The 21,449-nt window shown below is 41.2% G+C and overlaps 1 protein-coding gene and 1 pseudogene across 38 annotated transcripts in view, besides 4 other annotated features; one reads left to right on the forward strand and one right to left on the reverse strand.

The window, feature by feature from the left end:
- LTBP1 (latent transforming growth factor beta binding protein 1) overlaps window positions 1–21,449 on the forward strand; it is a 452,557-nt gene that overhangs the window by 104,805 nt on the left and 326,303 nt on the right. The window lies entirely within an intron of this gene.
- Window positions 4,339–4,840: an enhancer, noted in NCBI's record as "NANOG hESC enhancer chr2:33281163-33281664 (GRCh37/hg19 assembly coordinates)". NCBI's record gives its function as "activates a minimal SCP1, AML or CMV promoter by ChIP-STARR-seq in primed H9 embryonic stem cells {active_cell/tissue: H9 hESC(primed)}" and the evidence as "EXISTENCE:reporter gene assay evidence [ECO:0000049][PMID:30033119]".
- Window positions 4,540–4,751, reverse strand: H2ACP2 (H2AC histone family pseudogene 2; annotated as a pseudogene).
- Window positions 12,705–12,999: a silencer, noted in NCBI's record as "tiled region #6273; HepG2 Repressive non-DNase unmatched - State 23:Low". NCBI's record gives its function as "represses a minimal TATA promoter and a strong SV40 promoter by Sharpr-MPRA in HepG2 cells {active_cell/tissue: HepG2}" and the evidence as "EXISTENCE:reporter gene assay evidence [ECO:0000049][PMID:27701403]".
- Window positions 17,883–19,082: an enhancer, noted in NCBI's record as "P300/CBP strongly-dependent group 1 enhancer chr2:33294707-33295906 (GRCh37/hg19 assembly coordinates)". NCBI's record gives its function as "activates an origin of replication core promoter dependent on BRD2, BRD4, P300/CBP, MED14 and CDK7 cofactors, with strong dependence on P300/CBP, by STARR-seq in HCT116 cells {active_cell/tissue: HCT116}" and the evidence as "EXISTENCE:reporter gene assay evidence [ECO:0000049][PMID:35650434]".
- Window positions 18,025–18,319: a silencer, noted in NCBI's record as "tiled region #11675; K562 Repressive non-DNase unmatched - State 5:Enh". NCBI's record gives its function as "represses a minimal TATA promoter and a strong SV40 promoter by Sharpr-MPRA in K562 cells {active_cell/tissue: K562}" and the evidence as "EXISTENCE:reporter gene assay evidence [ECO:0000049][PMID:27701403]".

Raw genomic sequence — 21,449 nt, forward strand, 5'->3', positions numbered from 1 at the left:
TTGGTGACTCATTCAAAGCCACTTTATGTCTGCTTCTACATCTTGCTCAATCTGCTAGGCTTACTACCATCTAAGTCCTAGAAGGCCTATCAACTCTCCCCAGGAAATGTAGAACCCAAAGACATAGGCACATACTTTCATTTCCTTTTTAAATGAATACAGTCTCTTTAAAAGTTTTATTTGAATACCGATCCATGGTTTGCACAAGCCATTTGAATTTTAAACAGATGTGTGTGCAAAGCTGGGAGTCAGCATTGCATGTCTCAGTCAAGTTTTATAGTCATTGACTTTTAGGGTTACAGCCTGGTCTCATAGCTGTGCCTTGGGTGGAAAGGCTGGTAAGGACTTCGATGTACTTTCCTGTCCAGAGTTTTGAGACTTTAGCCAGGACTAGGGCAGCTTTCTGGGTGTCCAGTGGAGGGCCACGTCATTCGACCGTTGCTATGGGAAAAACCCATGAGCTCTCTCATTCCAAAGTTTACCGATTGCCAAATACTTGGGTGTGTGGTATTTGGAAAAAATATTTAGTGATGCAGTGATTCTTTGAAGAGGTGTCCTCTAATGTTTACTTTTTAAAATGGTAAACCAATTTTAATATTGTTCATACCTAGCTAAGACTGAATTAGATTATTTAAACATATTTAAACATCATCTCTGTAAGTGAATGGGAAAATAGGAACCAGACCAAACCCCTATTATTGAACGCTAAGAGAAATGGATTTTTTTAAAAACCGAAATAATTAAAATCTAGTGTTACATGTGAGTCTAGGGACTGGATTTACTATTTGGCAACTACATATTTTGTTGGCAATAAACTTATTGTCTAAAAGAAAATGCGTAGAGCCAAGATAGAGGCCCAAGTAAAGAAGAAAGTGTGATCCTAAGGGAAATTGGTTTATTGAGGAGAATGTATCTTCATATACTATTTGTAAGTTTTCTGTATGGAGGATTTCTCCCTTTTCACCCTTGTATTTATTTAATCGTTTAGTTGTAGTACCTTAGCCTCATTTGTTTTATTCTTCAGGTTATATTATTATTTTCTTGCTCAAATTGTTCCATCTTTAGTCATTGTAAGCTCTTTCAGGTTGACTCCCGGATCAAAATATAGTTTTTAAAACAGGCTTTTTTTTTTTTGAGATGGAGTCTCACTCTTGTCACCCAGGCTGGAGTGCAGTGGTGTGATCTCGGCTCACTGCAACCTCTGCCTTCTGGGTGTAAGCGATTCTCTTGCGTCAGCCTCCCGAGTAGGATTACAGGTGCATACCACCACACCCAGCTAATTTTTGCATTTTTAATCGAGACGGGGTTTCACTATGTTGGTCAGGCTCGTCTTGAACTCCTGACCTCAAGTGATCTGCCTGCCTCAGCCTCCCAAAGTGCTGGAATTACAGGCGTAAGCCACCGCGCCTGGCCTAAAAGATTTCAGTTTTTAAGGGCAGTTTTAGGTTCACAGCAAAATTGGAGAGGAAGGTCCAGACTTCCTATATACCCTGGCCCCTGCAACCCCTCTCCCCGTCCCATAGGCATAGCTTCTCCCATTGTCAACATCTACCAGAGTGGTACATTTGCTACAAATGATGAACCTACATTGACACATCATTATTCCCCAAAGTCCTAGGGTTCACCCTTGGTTTTGTACATTCTGTGGGTTTGGACAAATGTATAATGACATCTATCTATCATTATAGTATCATAATGAGTATTATTGAAAGGTGACAGCGTGCTGGCAGCCCTCGCAGCCCTCGCTCGCTCTCGGTGCTTCCTCGGCCTCGGCGCCCAGTCTACTAGATGAGTATTTGCCGTCTGGGTTTCCTTGATTAGAGGGGCCTGGCTATTTTGCTGTATCCGGGGATCCATAGTCGGCAAAAGCCAGTAATTCCAAGGAACCCCCACAAACTGTTTTAATGTCTTAGGGCAAGGATAAGCCAGTATAGGCTTTATTCATTCCTTGCTGAGGGCCCTGGTCCCTCTGGCTAAGATTAGGCCTAGATATTTGACCTGCTGTAGGCAAAGCAGGGCCTTCGACCTAGACACCTTGTACCCTTGATTAGCTAGAAAGTTCAAGAGATCTAGAGTAGCCTGCTGGCACGAGGCTTCCAAACTGGTAGCCAAAATTAAATCATCCACATATTGAAGGACCAGAGTGCCTGGACTTGAGAAGTGGCCTAGATCTTGGGCCAGTGCCTGACCAAATAACAGGTGAGGGCTATCCCTAAACCCCTGGGGCAAGACCATCCACATAAGTTGGGACGTGTGATCTGTGGGATCCTCAAAGGCAAAGAGGAACTGGGAGTCAGAGTGCAGGACAATACAGAAGAAGGATCCTCGAAGTCCAGAACTGTGAACCATTCTGTTTCCTCTGGTATTTGAGAGACCAGGGTATAGGGGTTGGGTACAACTGGATATAGAGGAATTACTGCCTCACTGATGAGTCTAAGATCTTGCACTAGTCTCCACTGACCGTTCGGTTTTTGTACTCCTAGAATTGGGGTGTTGCAGGGACTGCTGCATTTCCTTACTCAGCCTTGAGCTTTCAAATGTTTAATAATATTCTGTAATCCTTTATGAGCTTCAGGCCTTAAGGGATATTGCCTTTGATAAGGAAAAATGGTGGGATCTTTTAACCTGATTTGGACTGGGCGGGCATTTTTTAGCCTTCCAAATTGTCCTTCCAATGCCCAGACTTCAGGGTTGATTCCCTCCTCAAGTAGGGGACAACAAATGGGTAACTTGTTCCCCATATTCATGTAGATAATAGCTCCAGCCTTGGCTAATATATCCCTCCCTAATAAGGTGTGGGACTTACAGGCATAACAAGAAAGGCATGTGAAAAGAGCAAAGTCTCCCAATTAAAACTGAGGAGGTGTGAGAAACACCTGGTTACAGGCTGTCCCAGGATTCCTTGGGTGGTAACGGACCTTGAGGACAGTCGTCCAGGACAGGAGATTAACACTGAGAAGGCCGCACCAGTGTCCAGGAGGAAGTCAATTTCCTGGCCCTCAGTAGTTAAATGTACCCGGGGCTCAGTGAGGGTGATGACATGAGCCGGTGTTTGCCCCAGGCACCCTCAGTCCTGTTGTTGGATCATCTGGTTGGGGGCTTCTGACCCAGGGAACCTTCATCCTCTGGAGCAGTGCACCTTCCAGTGATTGCCTCGGCATAGTGGACATGGACGAGGGGGCAGCTTTTTCTCACTGGACAGTCTTTTTTAAGGTGTCCTAGTAAACCACACTGATAACAAGCCCCACCAGATGATTGGCCTGCTCCATTTTCTGTCCTCTCTGAACCACCAAGGTTTGTTTGTCTGAGGGCCATGACTAAGGCTGCAGCCTTTCTCTGATCTCGCTTTTCCTTTTGGGCCTGTTCCTCTTGGTCCTTATTATAGAACACCGAGGTTGCAAGGTTTAACGATGCCTCTAGATTTTGTTCAGGGCCCAGGGCTTGCCTTTGGAGCTTTCTCCTGATATCTGTGGCTGATTGGGTATTAAACTTATCTTTTAGAATCAATTGACCCTCGAGTGATTCGGGTGACAGGGGAGTATGTTTTCTTAAGGCCTCCCATAGCCACTCGAGGAAGGCAGAAGAATTTTCTTCCTTTCCCTGAGTTATGGTGGACATCATTGAATAATTCATGGGCTTTTTTTCTAATTCTCCTTAGTCCTTCTAGAACACAGGTCAACAGATGTTTACAACTCCAGTCCCCATGATCTGAGTCAAGGTCCCAGTGGGGATCCATACTGGGGATAGCTTGCTGACCAGTAGGGAATTTGTCCCTTTCTTTGGCTGTCATTCTATCATTTACTTGACTAAGATACCAGGTGTCTCCAAACTCTTGGGCTGCAGCTAAAGCCGCATTCTTTTCGTTAAAGGCCAGGGTTTGATCTAACAGTAGCATGACATCTCTCCAAGTGAGGTCAAAGGTTTGCCCTAGACCCTGTAGGACATCTATGTACCTATCAGGATCATCTGAAAACTTCCCCAGGTCTGCCTTCATCTGCTTTAAATCAGAGCAGGAGAAGGGGACATGTACCTGGGTAGGGCCAAATTCCCCTCCCCCTACAGCTTGAAGGGGACATAACCCATAGCCCGTGGGTTTTTGTGGTCCTTTGGAGATTTCTTTGCTTATTTCCTTCTGGGCAGGGGAGATGAGAGGATGATTATCATTAATAGGAAGGGGAGCTATAGGGAGGCTAGGATATGGGGGTAAGCTGAGAGGTCCTCCTGTGGGATGTAACTTGTAAGCTTTGCATAGTTGTGTATTCTCCCTCAATGAAAAGAAAGCTTGGACATAAGGTATTTCACTCCATTTGCCTTCCCTCTTACAGAAAAAGTCAAGCTGCAGGATGATAGTATTGTAATTTGTACTTCCCTCAGGTGGCCGTTTTTCCCCATCAGAGAGAGAATATTGGGGCCAAGCCGTAGCGCAGAAAAAAATGAGCCGCCTCTTTTTCAGGGTTTGTGGGTCGAATTGGTCCCAATAGCTTAGGATGCATTTCAAGGGTGAGCCTGTGATGCCTGAGTGTTTCCCATCTGAAAGACAAAACCGCCTGCAGTTTTGTTTTGTTTTGTTTGCATTTATTTGCTTTTGGCTTTGTGGCTTTCGGTTTTCTTTGGTAACAGAATGGCCTGGATGTTAGGCAAAATGCCGCCCTGGGCGATGGTGACTTTGCCCAGCAGCTTGTTTAGTTCCCTGTTGTTGCAAATTGCCAGCTGGAGGTGATGAGGGATGATGCGCGTCTTCTTCTTGTCCCTTCGTGGTTGCAAAAATGTGTCCAGATTTGGCGGGTTCTTGGTCTCACTGACTTCAAGAGTGAAGCCGCGGACCCTCGCAGTGAGTGTTATAGTTCTTAAAGGTGGCGTGTCCGGAGTTTGTTCCTTCTGATGTTCAGATGTGTTTGGAGTTTCTTCCTTCTGGGTTTGTGGTCTCGCTGGCTCAGGAGTGAAGATGCAGACCTTCGTGGTGAGTGTTACAGCTCATAAAGGCAGTGTGGACCCAAACAGTGAGCAGCAGCAAGATTTATTGCAAAGAGCAAAAGAACAAAGCTTCCACAGTGTGGAAGGGGACCCGGACGGGTTGCCACTGCTGGCTCAGGCAGCCTCCTTTTATTCTCTTATCCGGCCCCACCCACATCCTGCCGATTGGTCCATTTTACAGAGAGCCAGTTGGTCTGTTTTACAGAGAGCCGATTGGTCCGTTTTGACAGGGTGCTGATTGGTGCGTTTACAATCCCTGAGCTAGACACAAAAGTTCTCCACGTCCCCACTAGATTAGCTAGATACAGAGTGTCGATTGGTATATTTACAAACCATGAGCTAGACACAGAGTGCTGATTGGTGCATTTACAAACCTTGAACTAGAGACAGAGTGCTGATTGGTGTATTCACAATCCCTTAGCTAGACATAATGATCCAAGTCCCCACCAGATTAGCTAGATACAGAGTGCCGATTGGTGCATCCACAAATCCTGAGCTAGAGACAGGGTGCTAATTGGTGTGTTTACAAACCTTGAGCTAGATACAGAGTGCTCATTGGTGTATTTACAATCCCTTACTAGACATAAAGGTTCTCCAAGTCCCCACTAGACTCAGGAGCCCAGCTGGCTTCACCCAGTGGGTCTCCCACTGGGGCCGCAGGTCGAGCTGCCTGCCAGTCCCGCGCCATGCGCCTGCACTCCTCAGCCCTTGGGCAGTCGATGGGACTGGGCGCCGTGGAGCAGGGGGCAGCTCTCATCGGGGAGGCTCAGGCCGCACAGGAGCCCACGGTGGGGTGGGGGAGACTCAGGCATGGTGGGCTGCAGGTACCGAGCCCTGCCCCACAGGGAGGCAGCTAAGGCCTGGCGAGAAATAGAGCACAGAGCTGGTGGGCCAGCACTGCTGGGGGACCTGGCGCACCCTCTGCAGCTGCTGGCCCAGGTGCTAAGCCCCTCACTGCCCGGGGCCGGCACGGCTGGCCGGCAGCTCTGAGTGCGGGGCCGCCAAGCCCACGCTCACCGGGAACTCTAGCTGGCCTGCAAGCACCACGTGCAGCCCCAGTTCCCGCCCATGCCTCTCCCTCCACACCTCCCCGCAAGCCGAGGGAGGCGGCTCCGGCCTCGGCCAGCCCAGAGAATGGCTCCCATGGTGCAGCGGCGGGCTGAAGGGCTCCTCAAGCACGGCCAGAATGGGCGCCAAGGCCGAGGAGACGCCAAGAGCGAGCGAGGGCTGCGAGGGCTGCCAGCACGCTGTCACCTCTCAATATCACTGTCTTAAAAATCCTCTGTGCTCTACCTCATCATAAAAGTAAGAAACCTAGGAGTGTTTCTCTCTTTGGTTTCCAATTACTTTGGCCTGGGATAAACTGGGACTTCTCAATTCATTGCGGGCCATTTAACAGTTAATGAGAAGCATTTCATGGTCTTTCTAAAACTCTTGTAGACTAATAATAGCTATGATGAAGTATATAGAAATTCATTAATATTTATAAAAGTAATAAACATTGAGTAATAGAATTATGTTAGCATTAAAATTCAATTATTAATTACATTATTATTTCAACTAATTTTGCAAAAGACCATTGACTATAGGTTCTTAGAGGCTAAAAGAAAATTAGAAGTCTACCACCCCACCTCCTTTGTTTTACAGATGAGAAGCTAAAGCTTCCAATGTTTAAGTGATTTGCCTAATCGAAGCCAGGACCAAAACTCATCTAATAACGTCTAAACGTAGTACCTTCCACTGAATCAAAGAGTTGGGTCTTCCTGTTTTCCCTTTTTCTCCCCCCTTCTTTTCAAGAATTAATATTCTGAAGTATTTTCCAGATATGGAATCACCAATTTATAATGATAAATATGCAAGAAGATCAAGATAAATTTTGTGTATTATCTTACATTTGTGTTTTAAATTGATAGCTGCTATCAATGGCATGTTAAAAAATACTTTAGTGAATTTCATATTTTGATACAGCTTTCAGCACAGATCAGCAATTTCTCTCAAGTTTTTTGATTATACGTTTGATTCCAGAAATTCTGTTTCACTGGTACTAATTCAATGTGTTTACTCTTCTTTTGAGAATGGTACCTTACTATAAATGTCGCAGGAGAAAAAACATTGCCATTTAAGCTACAGAAGTGCTGAATATGACCTGCACGTGTTGAAATGGCAGTGCTGCGGGAGAGGTTGGAAAATGTGTGATGCTGTCTTATAATTTTAGCTCGGGTTTATGCAAATGTGGGCATTTATCTTGTTATTTTCACAGCCATACACATTTACTGCCGCTTGAAGTTATCCTTACAAGTGATCTTCATTAAATTAAGTTTGTCTTACAGGAGCAGAAGGAAAAGGATGATGTGAATTTCACCTTTAAAAGGCAGCACTAGGCAATGCAACATTTAAGAAGTGTTTTTTGCCTGTGCCCATAAAAAGCTATACCACTTTGTTGATGGATTTGCTATTTTGTGTCCTATTAAGTATAAAATGTGACCATATATTTTGGATTCCAAGGTCTTTTCTGGTTTGTTGAACACATTAGTGCTTATGATGATGATTTAAATTAGTTTTAATGTACTTGGGTAGTCAAGCGTACAGTGCTTTGAAGCCACTAAGGGAGAAAAAGAAGAGATATTTCAGCCTTCCCCAGTAATGAGACCCATAAATCAAAAGAACGAACATGGAAACTTCAAGCAAGCCTAGGGATCTAATTTCAAACACCTTAAAAGAGACTCCTTTTTTGGTTTAGGCTTGCCATGTCCGTGGTGCCCAGTGGAAGGGCTGAGCTGAAAAATTTGGATAAAAAACAGAGAACCTCTATAGGATTAAAACAATGGAGCCAGACGCTCTCAGTGTTAGCCTTTGGATTTGAGAGGCTTGTGTTTAAGAAGTCTGGGCCTGAAGAGGTGGAAATACAGGGGGTCAGATTCAGTTACAGATACATACATGTTCAAATACCAAATACATGTCATTTAAGGGAACCATAAGATGACTTTGCAAGAGGGAGACTTTTTTCCATGAAATAGTTATAGTAGACTTTTCAAACTAACTCTGAAGTGAAATTTTGAGCATAAAAGCTTTTCAGCTGACAAAGAGAAATGGCATGAATGTCTGAGAAAAAAACCAGACACATCCCTAAAACAACAGAGAAATGCCTTCTAGACTTTAGATACATCTATGGCAAATAGGAAGACAAGCTATTTCTAGACCTCTGGCAAGAAGACTGGCCTTTTACTCAGTTCTTAAAGAAAATAGCTAAGAGAAGTTTGGAATAAGAAATCCAAGTTCTTCTACATGTTGTTGGTTCGGGCAATGTCAAAGATTTTTTTCATAGCTTGTCTCTTGGAGGCTGACCTTGGACTGTGCACATGGACCTATTTTTAAACTGTAGACTCCATTTCACTCCCACATATTTTACCCTTCTACTGTTCAAGTGCTAAAACCAGGGATTATTTAAGTTAGCTTACTCTGTTGCAGGCTGGGATGAGAGTTTAGGATTCCAAAATTGTGTTAGAAGTGGGTTGAGAGGAAATAAATGTGGAGAGGCTAAATGACAGTTGTGTTATGGATCCTTTTCCTTTTAATTTCCCCCTATTTTTAAAAAACTCACTGGAGTCCTAGAATACACACAGATAATTGACGTATCTCTAGGGGTATTTGCATTCAAGGTAAGTTTCTTTTGATTTTAGTAACATGTGGCTTTTGATTATTATGGAGGACAATTTAAGCCCAAAGTATTATTTTGCCATTTAGGTTTGTATCTTAATTTGGGCTGTGCTGAAATCATCTTGGGGGGTGTGTGTGTATGTATGTGTGTGTGTGTTTGGGGGGGATGTGTGTGTATGATATATGTGGGTAGGTGAGATATGGAGGGAGGCAGGGAGGGAACTTTTAATACCGTTCGTTGTACTGAATTTTAAATTCAGATCTGTGTGTGTGTGTGTGTGTGTGTGTGTGTAAAGAAATGCATTTGTCATGGCTAACTGTGGTCTTTAATAGCAAAGTGACCAGAGCATGAATTATTTTCTTATTCAAAGAAAAATGAGGGGATCAGAAGGGCCACTGGTTTTCAAACAAAAAATAGTACAAGGTTTATGTTTTTAAAAAACTCATGTTATAGTGATTGAAATTTTCTTGTTTGGCAGCCTTTTCAAAAATTAAAAATTATATTACTTTTTTTTTCTGAAATAGCTCTTGCAAACAATTATATGAATCAAAACTGAAAACTAATTGTAACCATGTATTTGCTTATATCAGATCATAGACCAATAACAAGGATGTTTTGCCTGGTACTGAATTGTAGAAACTGGAGTTGGTAGGACACATTCCTTTAACTTTGAGGGATGATTATGGATAAGGCAATTGAAGTATTTATGGAAGATAATTCAGTCTATATTTAGGAAAGACTTCTTTTTTCTAACCAAATATGGTGGGTTTTAAAAATCTTACATATTACAAGATGGATGGATGATACTGGTCCATCCATTAATACACCCTATTTTCTTAATGCCTTTCAGACTAAGATGCACACATCATGAGTATATGTTTACCTATAAACACTTTGTCATGCATGTCATTAACTAGAGGTCAGTATTTGCTTATAGTGTTATTTTTAAGGTAAAATTTACAGTGTACTGAAATGTACAAATCTTACATGCACCCTTTGAATTTTGAGAAATGTGTACTTATGTAATCCAAAACTCTATCAAGGTAGAGGACTTGGCCAGTATCTAAGTTATCTCATCAGTTTTCTCAGTCCTACCCCAGAGACAACCACTCTTCTGATTTTTTTCACCATACTTTTCACTATTCTAGAAACTTCATGTGAGATTATACAATGTGTACCCTTTTGTAGAAGGCTTTTTACTTACCATACTATTTGTGGAATGTGTTAATACTGTCGCGTGAATAAGCAGTTCATTCCTTTTTATTGTTAGGTAGTATTCCATTGTATAAATATATGGCAATTTGTTTGTCCAGTCATCTGTTGATGAACACCTGGGTTGTTTCTAGTTTGGGGCTATTATAAATAAAGCTGCCATGATCATTCTTGTGAGTTTTCCTGTGGACATATGCTTTCAATTCTGTTGGGTAAGTACCTAGGAGTAGAATTTCTGTGTATAAGGTAGGTATGTGGTTAGCTTTATAAGAAACTCTCAGATGTTTTTTCCAAAGCGGTTTATCATTTTATCTTTCTATTAGGAGTGGATGAAAGTTCTGGTTGCACCACATCTGGGCTTACAGTATAGAATTGTCAGTCTTCTTCATGTTAATCATTCTTCTGAGTGTATAGTGGTATCTCATTATGTTTTTAATTTGCATTTCCCTGATGACTAATGATATCGAATAGCTTTTAATGTACATATTAACCATCTGTATATTCCCCTTTGTGAAATGTCTATTGAATATATTGCTCATTTATTAATCAGCTTTTTTTTCTTAATGAGTTGGAATTTTTTATTAGTATATATCCTGGATATCAATCTTTTATCTCTCTGTCTCATACACACACACACACACAGCATTTTTTTCCTCTTACTGTGTTAGTTTTCTTAACAGTGTCTTTTGGTGAGCAGTTTTTAATTTTGTTGAGGTCTGATTTTGTATGATTATTGATTTCTGTGTGTCGCTCAATAAATCTTTGCCTACTCTCAAATTATAAAGATATTTTCCTATGATTTCTTCTAGAGCTTTGTTGTTTTAGCTTCTGTGTTTAGGTCTAGGATTAACTTTGAGTTCACTTGAGTGTAGTGTAAGGTGAGAATCCAGGATGCTTCATTTTTTTTCTTTATACTGATATCTAGTTGTTCAGGATCATTTGTTGAAAAGAGTTTCTTTTCTCCGTTGGAATGCTTTGGCACCTTTTATCAAAAAATCAGTTGACCATATATATGTGAGTCTATTTGGGAGTTTCCAGCTATTCTGTTGATCTGTTGTTGATCCTTATGCTAGTACAGTAATCGCCTCTTTATCCATGAGAGGATATGTTCCAAGACCCCCAATGGATGCCTGAAACTGTGGATAGTACAAAACCCTCTATGCTATGATTTTCGTATCTGATAACCAAGATAGCTACTAAGTGACGAATGTGTGGGTAGTATGTGCAGTGTGGATATGCTGGAAGAAGGTGTGAGTCATGTCCCAGGTGGGACACAGCAGGACAGATTTCACACTACTCAGAATTTAAATCATGAATTCTTTACTTCTGGAATTTAAAACTTATGAATTGTTTAATTCTGGAATTTTAAACTTCTGAATTGTTTATGTCCATTTAATGTTATGAGACTGAAACCATGGGTAACTGAAACAGCAGAAAGCAAACCACAGATAAGGGGGGACTCCTGTCCCACACTGTCTTGAGTACTGTAGCTTCAAAAGTAAGTCTTCAAATCAAGTTGTGTAAGCCCTCAATTTTGTTCTGCATTTTCAAAACCACTTTTTGACATTTGTAGGCTCTTCATATTGCTGTTCGAATTATAGAATTAGTTTGTCAGTTTCTTTTTTTTTTTAAGTCTGATGTGATTACAATTTGCATTGTCTTGAATCTGGAACACCTGGTGAAAACTATTTTCATAATAATACTTAGACATTATTTGCTTTCACACTCATTGTCTCAGGAGTACAGTGGAGTTTTCCAGAGAATACATAATGTGTGATCTTGCAGCAGATTGAATGCAGAAGCAGATAGGCAATCAGGCTCTCTTCTTTTATGGTAAACATTAATGGTATTTGCAAAAGTGTAAAACAATGCAAAGCTTAATACATTTTATTTTAGGAAAAAGAAAAATTATTTTAACATTTAATGGGCTTGTTAATTTTAAATGAATTAATATTTTAACATTTTTTAATTTTAAATTCCTTCTCTGGTAAATTTTGATAGCTATAAACTACATAAATATTAAAAGTTTTTTGGGATCCTCAGTTGTTTTTGAGAGTTTCAAGGAGTCCTGAGAATGAAGGGTTTGAAAACTGCTGCCATAGCTCAATTTTGGGACAATTGATGCCTTAACAATATTTATTTTTTCAATCCATGAATATGGTATATCTCTACATTTATATATGTTTTATAGTTTTCAGTATAGAGATTTCTGAAGATGTTTTGTTAAATATATTTCTAAGTATTGTATATTCTTTTTTTTTTTTCTTTTTGAGATGGAGTCTCGCTCTGTCGCTCAGGCTAGAGTGCAATGGCATGACCTTGGCTCACTGCAACCTCTGCCTCCCAGGTTCAAGTGACTCTCCTGCCTCAGCCTCCTGAGTAGCTGAGACTACAGGCACCCGCCACCATGCCTGGCTAATTTTTGTAATTTTAGTTGAGACGGGGTTTCACCATGTTGGGCCAGGCTGGTCTCAAACTCCTGACCTCATGATTTACCCGCCTTGGCCTCCCAAAGTGCTAGGATTACAGGCGTGAGCCACTGCACCCAGCCTCTAAGTATTGTATATTGTTTACACTTACATAAATGTAATATAACTTTAAATTGAGTTTTCTGCTAATATATAGAAATACATTTAATTTATATTTAGTGACCTTGCAGCCTCCAAAATTTCAAAATTCACACATTAGTCTGGTAACCTCAAACTCATATTGTCAAGAACTGTGAAAGGTTTGAGATTTTATCTTGCTTGCAGGCTAAAAAGTTAGCCTCCCACAGTTTCATGGATGCTGACAGAAGACAGGAGAATCCTGGGTAAGAGATAAAGAACTTTATTACTCATGGCATAGCAGGCAGCATGAGCTTCATGTTCAGATTGGGTCTCCACACTCCCTAAGCTTCATGGGGTAATGCAGAGTAGCCCAGGTCGATGTTACTCGTGTAGTAGGTTTGTGTCGCAGTTGAGGAACCCTGAGCTTAGGAAATACCATTCTTTAAAAGGGGCTGCTAGCCAACTTTGCCTAATCTTTGTGCCAGATGGAGATGTTATTTTCATTTCCCTGGATAGCAAACAAATCTTTCCTTTGCCACAGAAGGAGATACTATCTGTTTTCCAAGACTGTGTACTATATAAACATTCTTGAAAAGACAGGCCAGAAGAAAAGCTGATAAAGATATGCAGAAACACAGAAGGCACATGGGTAATTTTTTCCCAACTTGTATTGTTGGGATTTTCTTCTTAGTCATGTCATGTCAAATACAGTTAGTATTGTGTCTTTCCAGTATTTATGCTTCTCCCCTTTTGCTATATTTTACTAGCCAGGACTGCTAGTGTAATGTAGAACAGGAGTGGTGACAGTGGTCATCTTTGCCTTTTGTTCTAGGTTTTAGGGTGAAAGTATGTTATTTTACCAATCAGTATAATACATTAACAAAATAATCATTGTAGAAACGGGGTCTAAAATGAGGAAATTATCTTATATTACTCATTTGCTGAGTGTTTCCTTTTATCATGAAGGCTTGTTGTATTTGCCAGATGCATTTTCTGTATGTAGTGTGATCATCAATAAAAATACGATTATTTTTTATTCCTTTATTCTGTCAGTATGGTTAGTTAAATCAATTAAGTTTTAAATGTTAAACCAACCTTGCATTACTAGGATAAATTCCACTTGAGGTGAGGCATGGTGGTTATACCTGTAATCCCAGCTTTGGAAGGCTGAGGCAGGAAGATCACTTGAGGCCATTAGTTTGAGACCATCCTGGGTAACACAATGAGACTCCATCTCTACAAAAAATAAAAATATTAGCTGGGTGTGGTGGTGCACGCCTGTAGCCCAAGCTACTCAGGAGGCAGATGTCGGAGGATTACTTGAGCTCAGGAGTTTGAGGTTACAGTGATGATCATGTCACTGCTCTACATCCTGGGTGACAGAGTAAGACCTTGTCACCCTGTTTCTCTACAGGAAAAAAAAAAATCCCACTTTGTCAGGGTGTATTAGCCTTTTTCTATATTATGAATTCGATTTGTGGACCCTTTTTAAAGAATTTTTCCATATATGTTGATGAGGAATATTGGTCTGTGAGGGTTTGGTATCATGGTTATGATGGCCTCCAAAAACAGGTTGGGAGGTGTTTCTTCTTCCTGTATACTTTGAAGAGTTTTTATAAGATGGGTTTTCTATCTTTCTTAAATATTTGTTAGAATTAACTGGTGAACATATGGTCTTGGTCTTTTATTTATGAGAAAGTTTTTGAAAAAATTCACTTCGCTAGATATAGGATTATTTATATTTTCACTTTCACTCTGTGTCGTTCTTTTTATCGGTCTGACAGATGAAAATAACCTGTTTTAAATAACAGTGAGGTTAAATAGTAGTAGTTTATGGCTGTTTGCATTTTTTTCCTCCTATTTTCCGGCCAGTTTTCTATTAGATCATGTATCTTTTTCTTGTTGAACTCTTTATATAATACTATGAACTTTCTGATATCTGTCTATATACCAACCTATAATCAATATTTTCCCTATTTTTCTTTTATTCTGTTTATATGTATTTGCTATGCAGAAGATTTTAAATTTTATGTAGTCTTATCTGTTAATTTTTTCTATATGGTTTTTGGCCCTAACATCATACAATTGTATTGAATCACAGCCATACTCACTTGTTTATATGTTGTCTATAGCTGCTTTCTTCCTGTAATGGCAGAGTTGAGTTGTGACGGAGACTGCATGTAGCTCTGTGATCACTTTTCACTGCTGCTTGGCACCCCAAAAATCATAGTTACCACATTTAATTATTTTAAACTTAGAAATTGTCAGTGTTTTTAGTGGCATGTGTATTAACTTACAGTGACTTTTTTTTATTTTTTATCAGTGTAAATCCTTGATGTCAGAAGAGTAGAAAAGTAGACTCTGAATGTCATACTTTAAAAGGCATAGTGGAGTATGGATTATTTTGTTATTAAATTAGATGGCAAAGCATTGTGTTTATTATGTAATGAGACTGTAACTGTGCTAAAAGAATATACGGTATGCTGACATTACCAGACTAATCACTTATCACAATATTTTCAACTCACAGAAATGCTGTGGTGAAAAGTTAGAAAATTTAAAATCAAATGTTTCATTATAGCAGAATTTCTTTACACAAAAAAGAACATTCAGCTGCAAACAAGGTAAATTTGCAAGTGACTCCTTTGTTATCCAAGCCAGGAAAGCCATTTATTGATGGTGAGTTAATTAAATCATGCTTGATTGCAGCAGCTGAAGAAATGTGTTCAGAGAAAACAAAATTGTTTAAGACTCTTCTAAGCCTTGAGCACTTTGGGAGGCTGAGATGAGAGGATTGCCTGAGTCCAGGAGTTCGAGACCAGCCTGGGCAAACTAGACAGAACCCATTTCTACAAAAAATAAAACAATTTAAAAAAAGCCAGGCATGGTGGCATGCCTGTAGTCCCAGCTACTCTAGAGGCTGAGGCAGGAGGATTCCTTGAGCCCAGGAGGTCCAGGCTGCAGTGAGCTGTGATCATGCCACTGCCCTCCACCCTGGGCTACAGAACGAGACCCTGTCTGAGGGCTAAGATTTATTTTTTTCTGAACAGGATAAATTGACTTTAGCTACTATTGAAGACTGAGTGGCTTTGGAAATTAGCTTTAGCTGCAGAGTTGATAATGAATTCAACATAAAACTATAAGGCAAAACAGTGCTTATATGTGAAACTTAATATTGAAGTAAAGTCACTTAGATGCCACCTAACATTGTTTTAATCACTAGTAATATTAAGATGCTTTATACACTTCTTATGCTGTCAAAAGTGAAAATAAGAAATGAGATCTCTGTTTGCATACCAGTTGTAGCAGATACATTTTCTTAGCTCAACTAAGTACTGTTGACCTTCCATATCCATGAGTTCTGCATCTGTTTTTAACCAGCTTTGAATCAAACATATCTGGGAGAAACAAATGGCATCTGTACTGAACATTCACAGACACTTTTTGATCATTATTCTCTAAACAATACAGTATAACAACTATTTACATAGCATTTACATTGTATTAGGTATTATGAGTAATCTAGAGATTATTTAAAATATACAAGAGGATATGCATAGATTAGAAGCAAATACTATGACATTTTATATTAGGGACTGGAATATCCACAGTTTTTGGAATCTGAGGGAGGTCCTGGAACTAATCTCCCATGGATACCAGGGGACAGCTGTACCAGCAGTGCTTTTGGACCACAATGCAAGTAGAAAGGAAATTTCTATAATTCAAAATCTATTTAACTGTGCAGTTGAAGAGCTTCCACTTAACTTTAATTGCAAGTGAAGAATCTGAAATGTAGCAACATACCAAAAGGAGGATATCAACAGAAGAATATAATAAAAATTTTTAAATGCCATCCAAGTAATGAATATGCTTAAATAAAATCATATGCTCCTGGATAACAGTATTTTTTCCATACACAAATAGGTGTGTGAAAAGACATTTTCAGAGATGAAATATGTAAAATCTCATTAGAGATTAGCATTAGCAGAGTAACATTTGCGATTCTTTTTTTGTGGGGTGGGGGGAGGGTGTAAACATATGTTTTTATTTCTCTTGAATAAATGCCCAGGAGTGCAGTTACTAAGTCATGTAGTAGTTGCATGTTTAGTTTTTTTTTTTAAACAATAAACATTATTTTTCGATAATTTTTAGATTCACAGCCAAAATGAAGGGAAATAGATATATAGTCCATATACTCCCTGCCCCCAAATGTGCACAGCTTCTTCCATTATCTATTACCACTCCCACACCAGAGGGGTAATTTGTTATAAATGATGAACCTGCATTGACTCATCATCATCGTCCAGAGTCCATAGTTTATATTGCTGACTCTTGATGTTGTACATTCTGTGGGTTTGGAAAAATGAATAATGGCATGTATCTGCCATTACAGCATCCTACAGAGTATTTTCACTGCTCTAAAAATCCTCTATGCTCCACCTATTCATTCTTCCTTCTCCCCTAATCCTTGGCAACCACTGATCTTTTTATTATTTTGATAATATTTGCAGTTGATTTTGATGATAAGGAATACTAACTTTGAGTCCCAATTAAGCAAATTGTCCTCCCTCTACCAAAAGAATATCATTCTTCACATTAGGAGGCTTATATACAAATAATTATACTTTGTTATTAATATTATGTTTTGAATTTTGTCAATGAAAAATGTGTGTGAAATTGTTTTCTCTCATTAAGTACCCTCTATGATACCCTCAATATTGCCTTTTGGCCCACAACTAAAATATATACTATATGGGTCTTTATGGAAAAAGTTTGCTAACCCCTGATTCATATCAATGTTTAACTATTCTAACCATTTAGATCAGAGAATGAATGTTTTTGTGCCTCAATAAATGTCAGTTTCAAAAACCAACAGCAGTAAAGGAAATTTTGTTTGGGGCTCAGGATATTTTGCTCCGGAAGTTAAGCTTACTTAAAGTTTACTCTTGTTCTGAAATTGTGTTAAGTTGTCTGGGAGAGGGTTGAGCACAATACATGACTGTTGATTCCTCTCTGTGTACTTGTTAGGTATCCCTGGTACCCTGAGATGATGGCCCCACTCAAAGCCAGACTTCCGAGAGCCTGGACTGGGGAGAAAGATGCCCCTGGCTCTGTGCACTGATGCCTCCCTCCCCGCCCCACTCCATTCATACCCACACCCTCTCCCTCTAGTCTGCACCTCTTCCTCCTGTGCATGGGAATATCTAGTCCCTCAGTTCCCAAATTTCTGCAGATGAAGCACCCATTCTTGTCATTCCCACTTATGATCCATTTTGATCTAGAAGGTAGTGTTGTCTCCTAGGAGGGCAACAAGCAAGTCTGAGCTGCCTGCCCCAGAGTTTTTGCTGTTTGCTAAGGCATCTCTGGGGTGAACAGAGGGCAGGTCAATGTTACCTGCTGACCTTGAAACCCTTGGTGTGTGTGCAGCACAGCCTGGAAGTTGTCAGTCAAGATTATTCTCAAGCCTCATAGACTCAGGTTCCTAGTACAGACATCTGCATCCAGACCAGTTATCTGCTCACAAAACAAAGTTGAAGAGAACAAGAATGAACATCATGCAGTTTTGATTTTTGCCTCTTCATTCTCCCTTTCCCCCATTTTCATCCACAAATGCTTACTGTCTTCACCATTTTGTGCAATATTAATTTCTCTGGGTTATTTATAGGGAGTGGGTGGGCACAGTGCTTATGACTTAGAATGGAAGACGGTATTCCCCGAAGAGCTCTCAACAGCTCACAGTCTGAGGGAGACCCTGTGGGTACTTGGTCTGTTGATCCTGTTGAAAAGTGAGCATAGCATGTGGGAAAGTGACTCATGGATGTGACTTCACCATTGCCCTCCTTTTAAACTTCTTACAGTGAAAGCATAACCCAGTTCTGACAAAGGTTTTCAGCCAGGGCTGGGCCTGCCTTTGACTCAGCGATGTGTCACATTCTCTCTGCCGGAAACTCTCATTCTTAACACCAGTCATCATGGTCCTGGCAACACACTTTTTGGAGAGGTGTTGGTATTTGGTGGATTTATTTTCTTTTCCAGCTGCCCACAAAAAAACAAACTCAGAAATATCTATTTGTTTTTCCTTTGAAAAGTTTGTTGGAATAGTGTGTCATTTCTCCATCTGGAGCCGTTGTTGCTTTGCCAAGGATAGTTTGCTTAGGGCCATGGCAAGGTGACGGTGGCCCTAAGTGAAGGGTAAAATAACTGGGGCGGCATGCCCGTCTGGGATGGCGAAACCTCTGAGCTGCTGTCAGGCGGTGGGTGGCTAGCCATGGCTGGTGGCCACAGGCCATCACTTCAACTGTGGCTGGGATTTGCTTAAAGAAGTCCTTTAAGTTTCTTAAGTAATGTCTGCCCAGTCACTCACCTAAGCGGATACCTCTTTACTGTTCGGTGATTTTGTGCCAAGAGAATGCCTAGACTTGCCAGCCCACATTGGAAACTTCCCAGAAGCCCAAGGGCCACACCTAATTTACAAGAACTGGAACCCCTATTCCATTCTTTGCTGCTTACAGCTTATGGGAGAGGCATGTTCTAACGGGCTTCTTTCCTTCTAATTTGTAGATCCTGTGCAGGCAGCTCCTTGAAGGCAGGGCTGTGCCTTTCTTGTATGTTTTCTTAGAGTGTTGAGCTCAGAGGAGACCCCAGTAGAGAAGGCACTGTGGCGTGGGGGAGTAACACCTGTTTAGTAGTCAGGGGAATAGGGTCAAAACTCCACGTTGGCCACGGGCTATGAGATCTTGGCCCAGTCAGTTCATTTCTCTGGGCATTTCCTCATCATCCAATTGCTGGGCTGAGTGATTCTCTAAAGCAGTGGTTCTCACCCTTGCTAGATGTATGAGAAACACCTGTGGACTTTTTATTCTTTAATCATACATGATCTGGCCACAGCCACTCATAGTGGGTTCAGCAAGTCTGGGTGGAGCTTGCAGAGTAAAGATTTTTCCAGAGTTCTTTATGGCCAGGGTTGAGGGCCACTATGTGCAGTCCCTGACTAGATAAGCAATGGGAACAAAGAGTGAGTCGTTCAGGCCACTTCCAAGCTTACTCACGTGGCTTTGGGTAGGTCTTGGTTCCTCATGGCTTTTGGCGGAAGGCCTCATTCATACCTCACTACCTGGGCCTCTCCATAGGACAGCTAGCTTGCCTTCCTCACAGTGAATGAGAATGTGGACAAAGTAGAAGCTACAGTCTTTTTGTAAACGCAATCTCAGAAGTGATGTCCCATCATGTTTGTCATATTTTATTCATTAGAAATGAGTCCCTTGATCTGCCTTATACTCTAGGGGAGAGGATTCTGCAAGAATCTGGACTACCAGGCAGTGGGATCATTGGGTGCCATCTTAGAGGCTGCCTTGCACAGCATCTAGGAGGTGGCTGCAGAATGGATTTTGGAGCAGGAACAGGGGGAAGGGAAGCAGGGAATCAGAAGGGTGTGGTCCACAAGCTAATGGAAGGAGGATAGAATTCAAGTATAGGCTAGGTTATGATGTCGTAACAAGTCATAATCTGAGGGGCTTGAAATAACAAAGATTTATTTCTTCCTCATGCAGATAGTAGTTACAGGCTGTTTTGGGCTTTGTGCCATATCATCACACGTGGGACATGTTCATCACGGGTCGTCTGGGGATTCTTCTTTATGTCATTTTCACTGTGGGACCTAAGCTGACAAAGCAGCTTGAATGTGGAAAAACTCCAACTGTGCTTCCCCCACTATACTCTCACAAAGCAAATCTGACACCGGATGTGTGGGGATTTCTGCCCACCAGCAAGCAAGCAGTCAGTTCTGCAGTGCACACCAACTGAATGTCCTTTAATTGAATTCTGACACTGTCTACCTGGAGACAGCATCGGATCCCACAGGTTCAGGGCTCAGTCCCACGAGACTGCCCCCGTTTCAGATACCAGTTGCAAGTCTGAGCCTCTGGAACTTCTGACCAACCAGTGTCAAGTTGGGGTTCCCATGATCTGCTGTTTGGGTTTGACTAATTTGCTAGAGCGGCTCACAGAACTCATGGAAACACAGGTTTACCAGTTTATTATAAAGGATATTGCAAAGGATACAGACGAAGAGGTGCTTAGGGAGAGGTTTAGGGGAAGGGGCGCAGATCTTCCATGTCCTCCCGGGATGCACCACCCTCCAGGCACCTCCACATGTTCAGCTATCTGAAGCTCTCTGAACCCAGTCCTCTTCGGCCTTTTATGGAGACTTCATTGGATAGGCATGATTGAAGCATGGAGTGGGGAAACCTACCAAGGCCTGTCCAGATTCTCAGCCTCTCTGTGCAGCATTCCTTCCTCCAGGGTCTGGGGCAGCACCCCTGAAACAGGGGCCTTAGGACCTGCAATCAGACAAGGAAGGTCCTCGCATTTGTTCACGGTCAGTTTCAGGACAGAAAGGCAGGGGGATATCTGAGTATGTTTTTAGTTTCTAAGGCCTTCCTTGGGGAGAAAAAAGTGCAGGTGAAAGGAAGGCAGAAGGTCAGTGAGAGAGAGATTTGTTTTTTGAGGACTAAAAGTGCCCCAACATGAGGTGATAAGGACTATGGGAGTTACGAGCCAGAAACCATGGTTGAAAACCGGTATATTAATATATATGTCATAGTATCACGCAAGTACTCTCAGAAACATTGCTGGTTGCCATGGCAGAGGGAAAAAGTTATGGAAAAGCATGTATTAGCTCTTAAAACTTCAGCCTATGTTATTTCCATTCACGTTTCATTGGCCAAATTATGTCTTATGGTCTACCACCACTTCAGAGGGGGCGAGGATATGTACTCCTGTCATGTGTCCCGAGAGTAGAAGTCTGGAGATATTTGATTAGCACCAATGACACCCCTGGGGGGAGTAGTCAGTAGTGTTGCCCTCCACAGAGCCGGGCAACGTGACCACTGAACATGGTGTTTCGGTTGGCATTCACGTGGTCATTGTTAATCTTAATCTTGGCCAGTTCAGTAGTTGTAGAAAAATGATGTATAACCTGATTGCATGGTTTGAGGAGTGAATAGGAGATGAGAAGGTGCAGAGAGCTAGAAGGAAAGAATTGTAGACATTTTTTA

This window comes from Homo sapiens, chromosome 2, assembly GCF_000001405.40.
Source record: "Homo sapiens chromosome 2, GRCh38.p14 Primary Assembly".
NCBI lineage: Eukaryota > Metazoa > Chordata > Mammalia > Primates > Hominidae > Homo > Homo sapiens.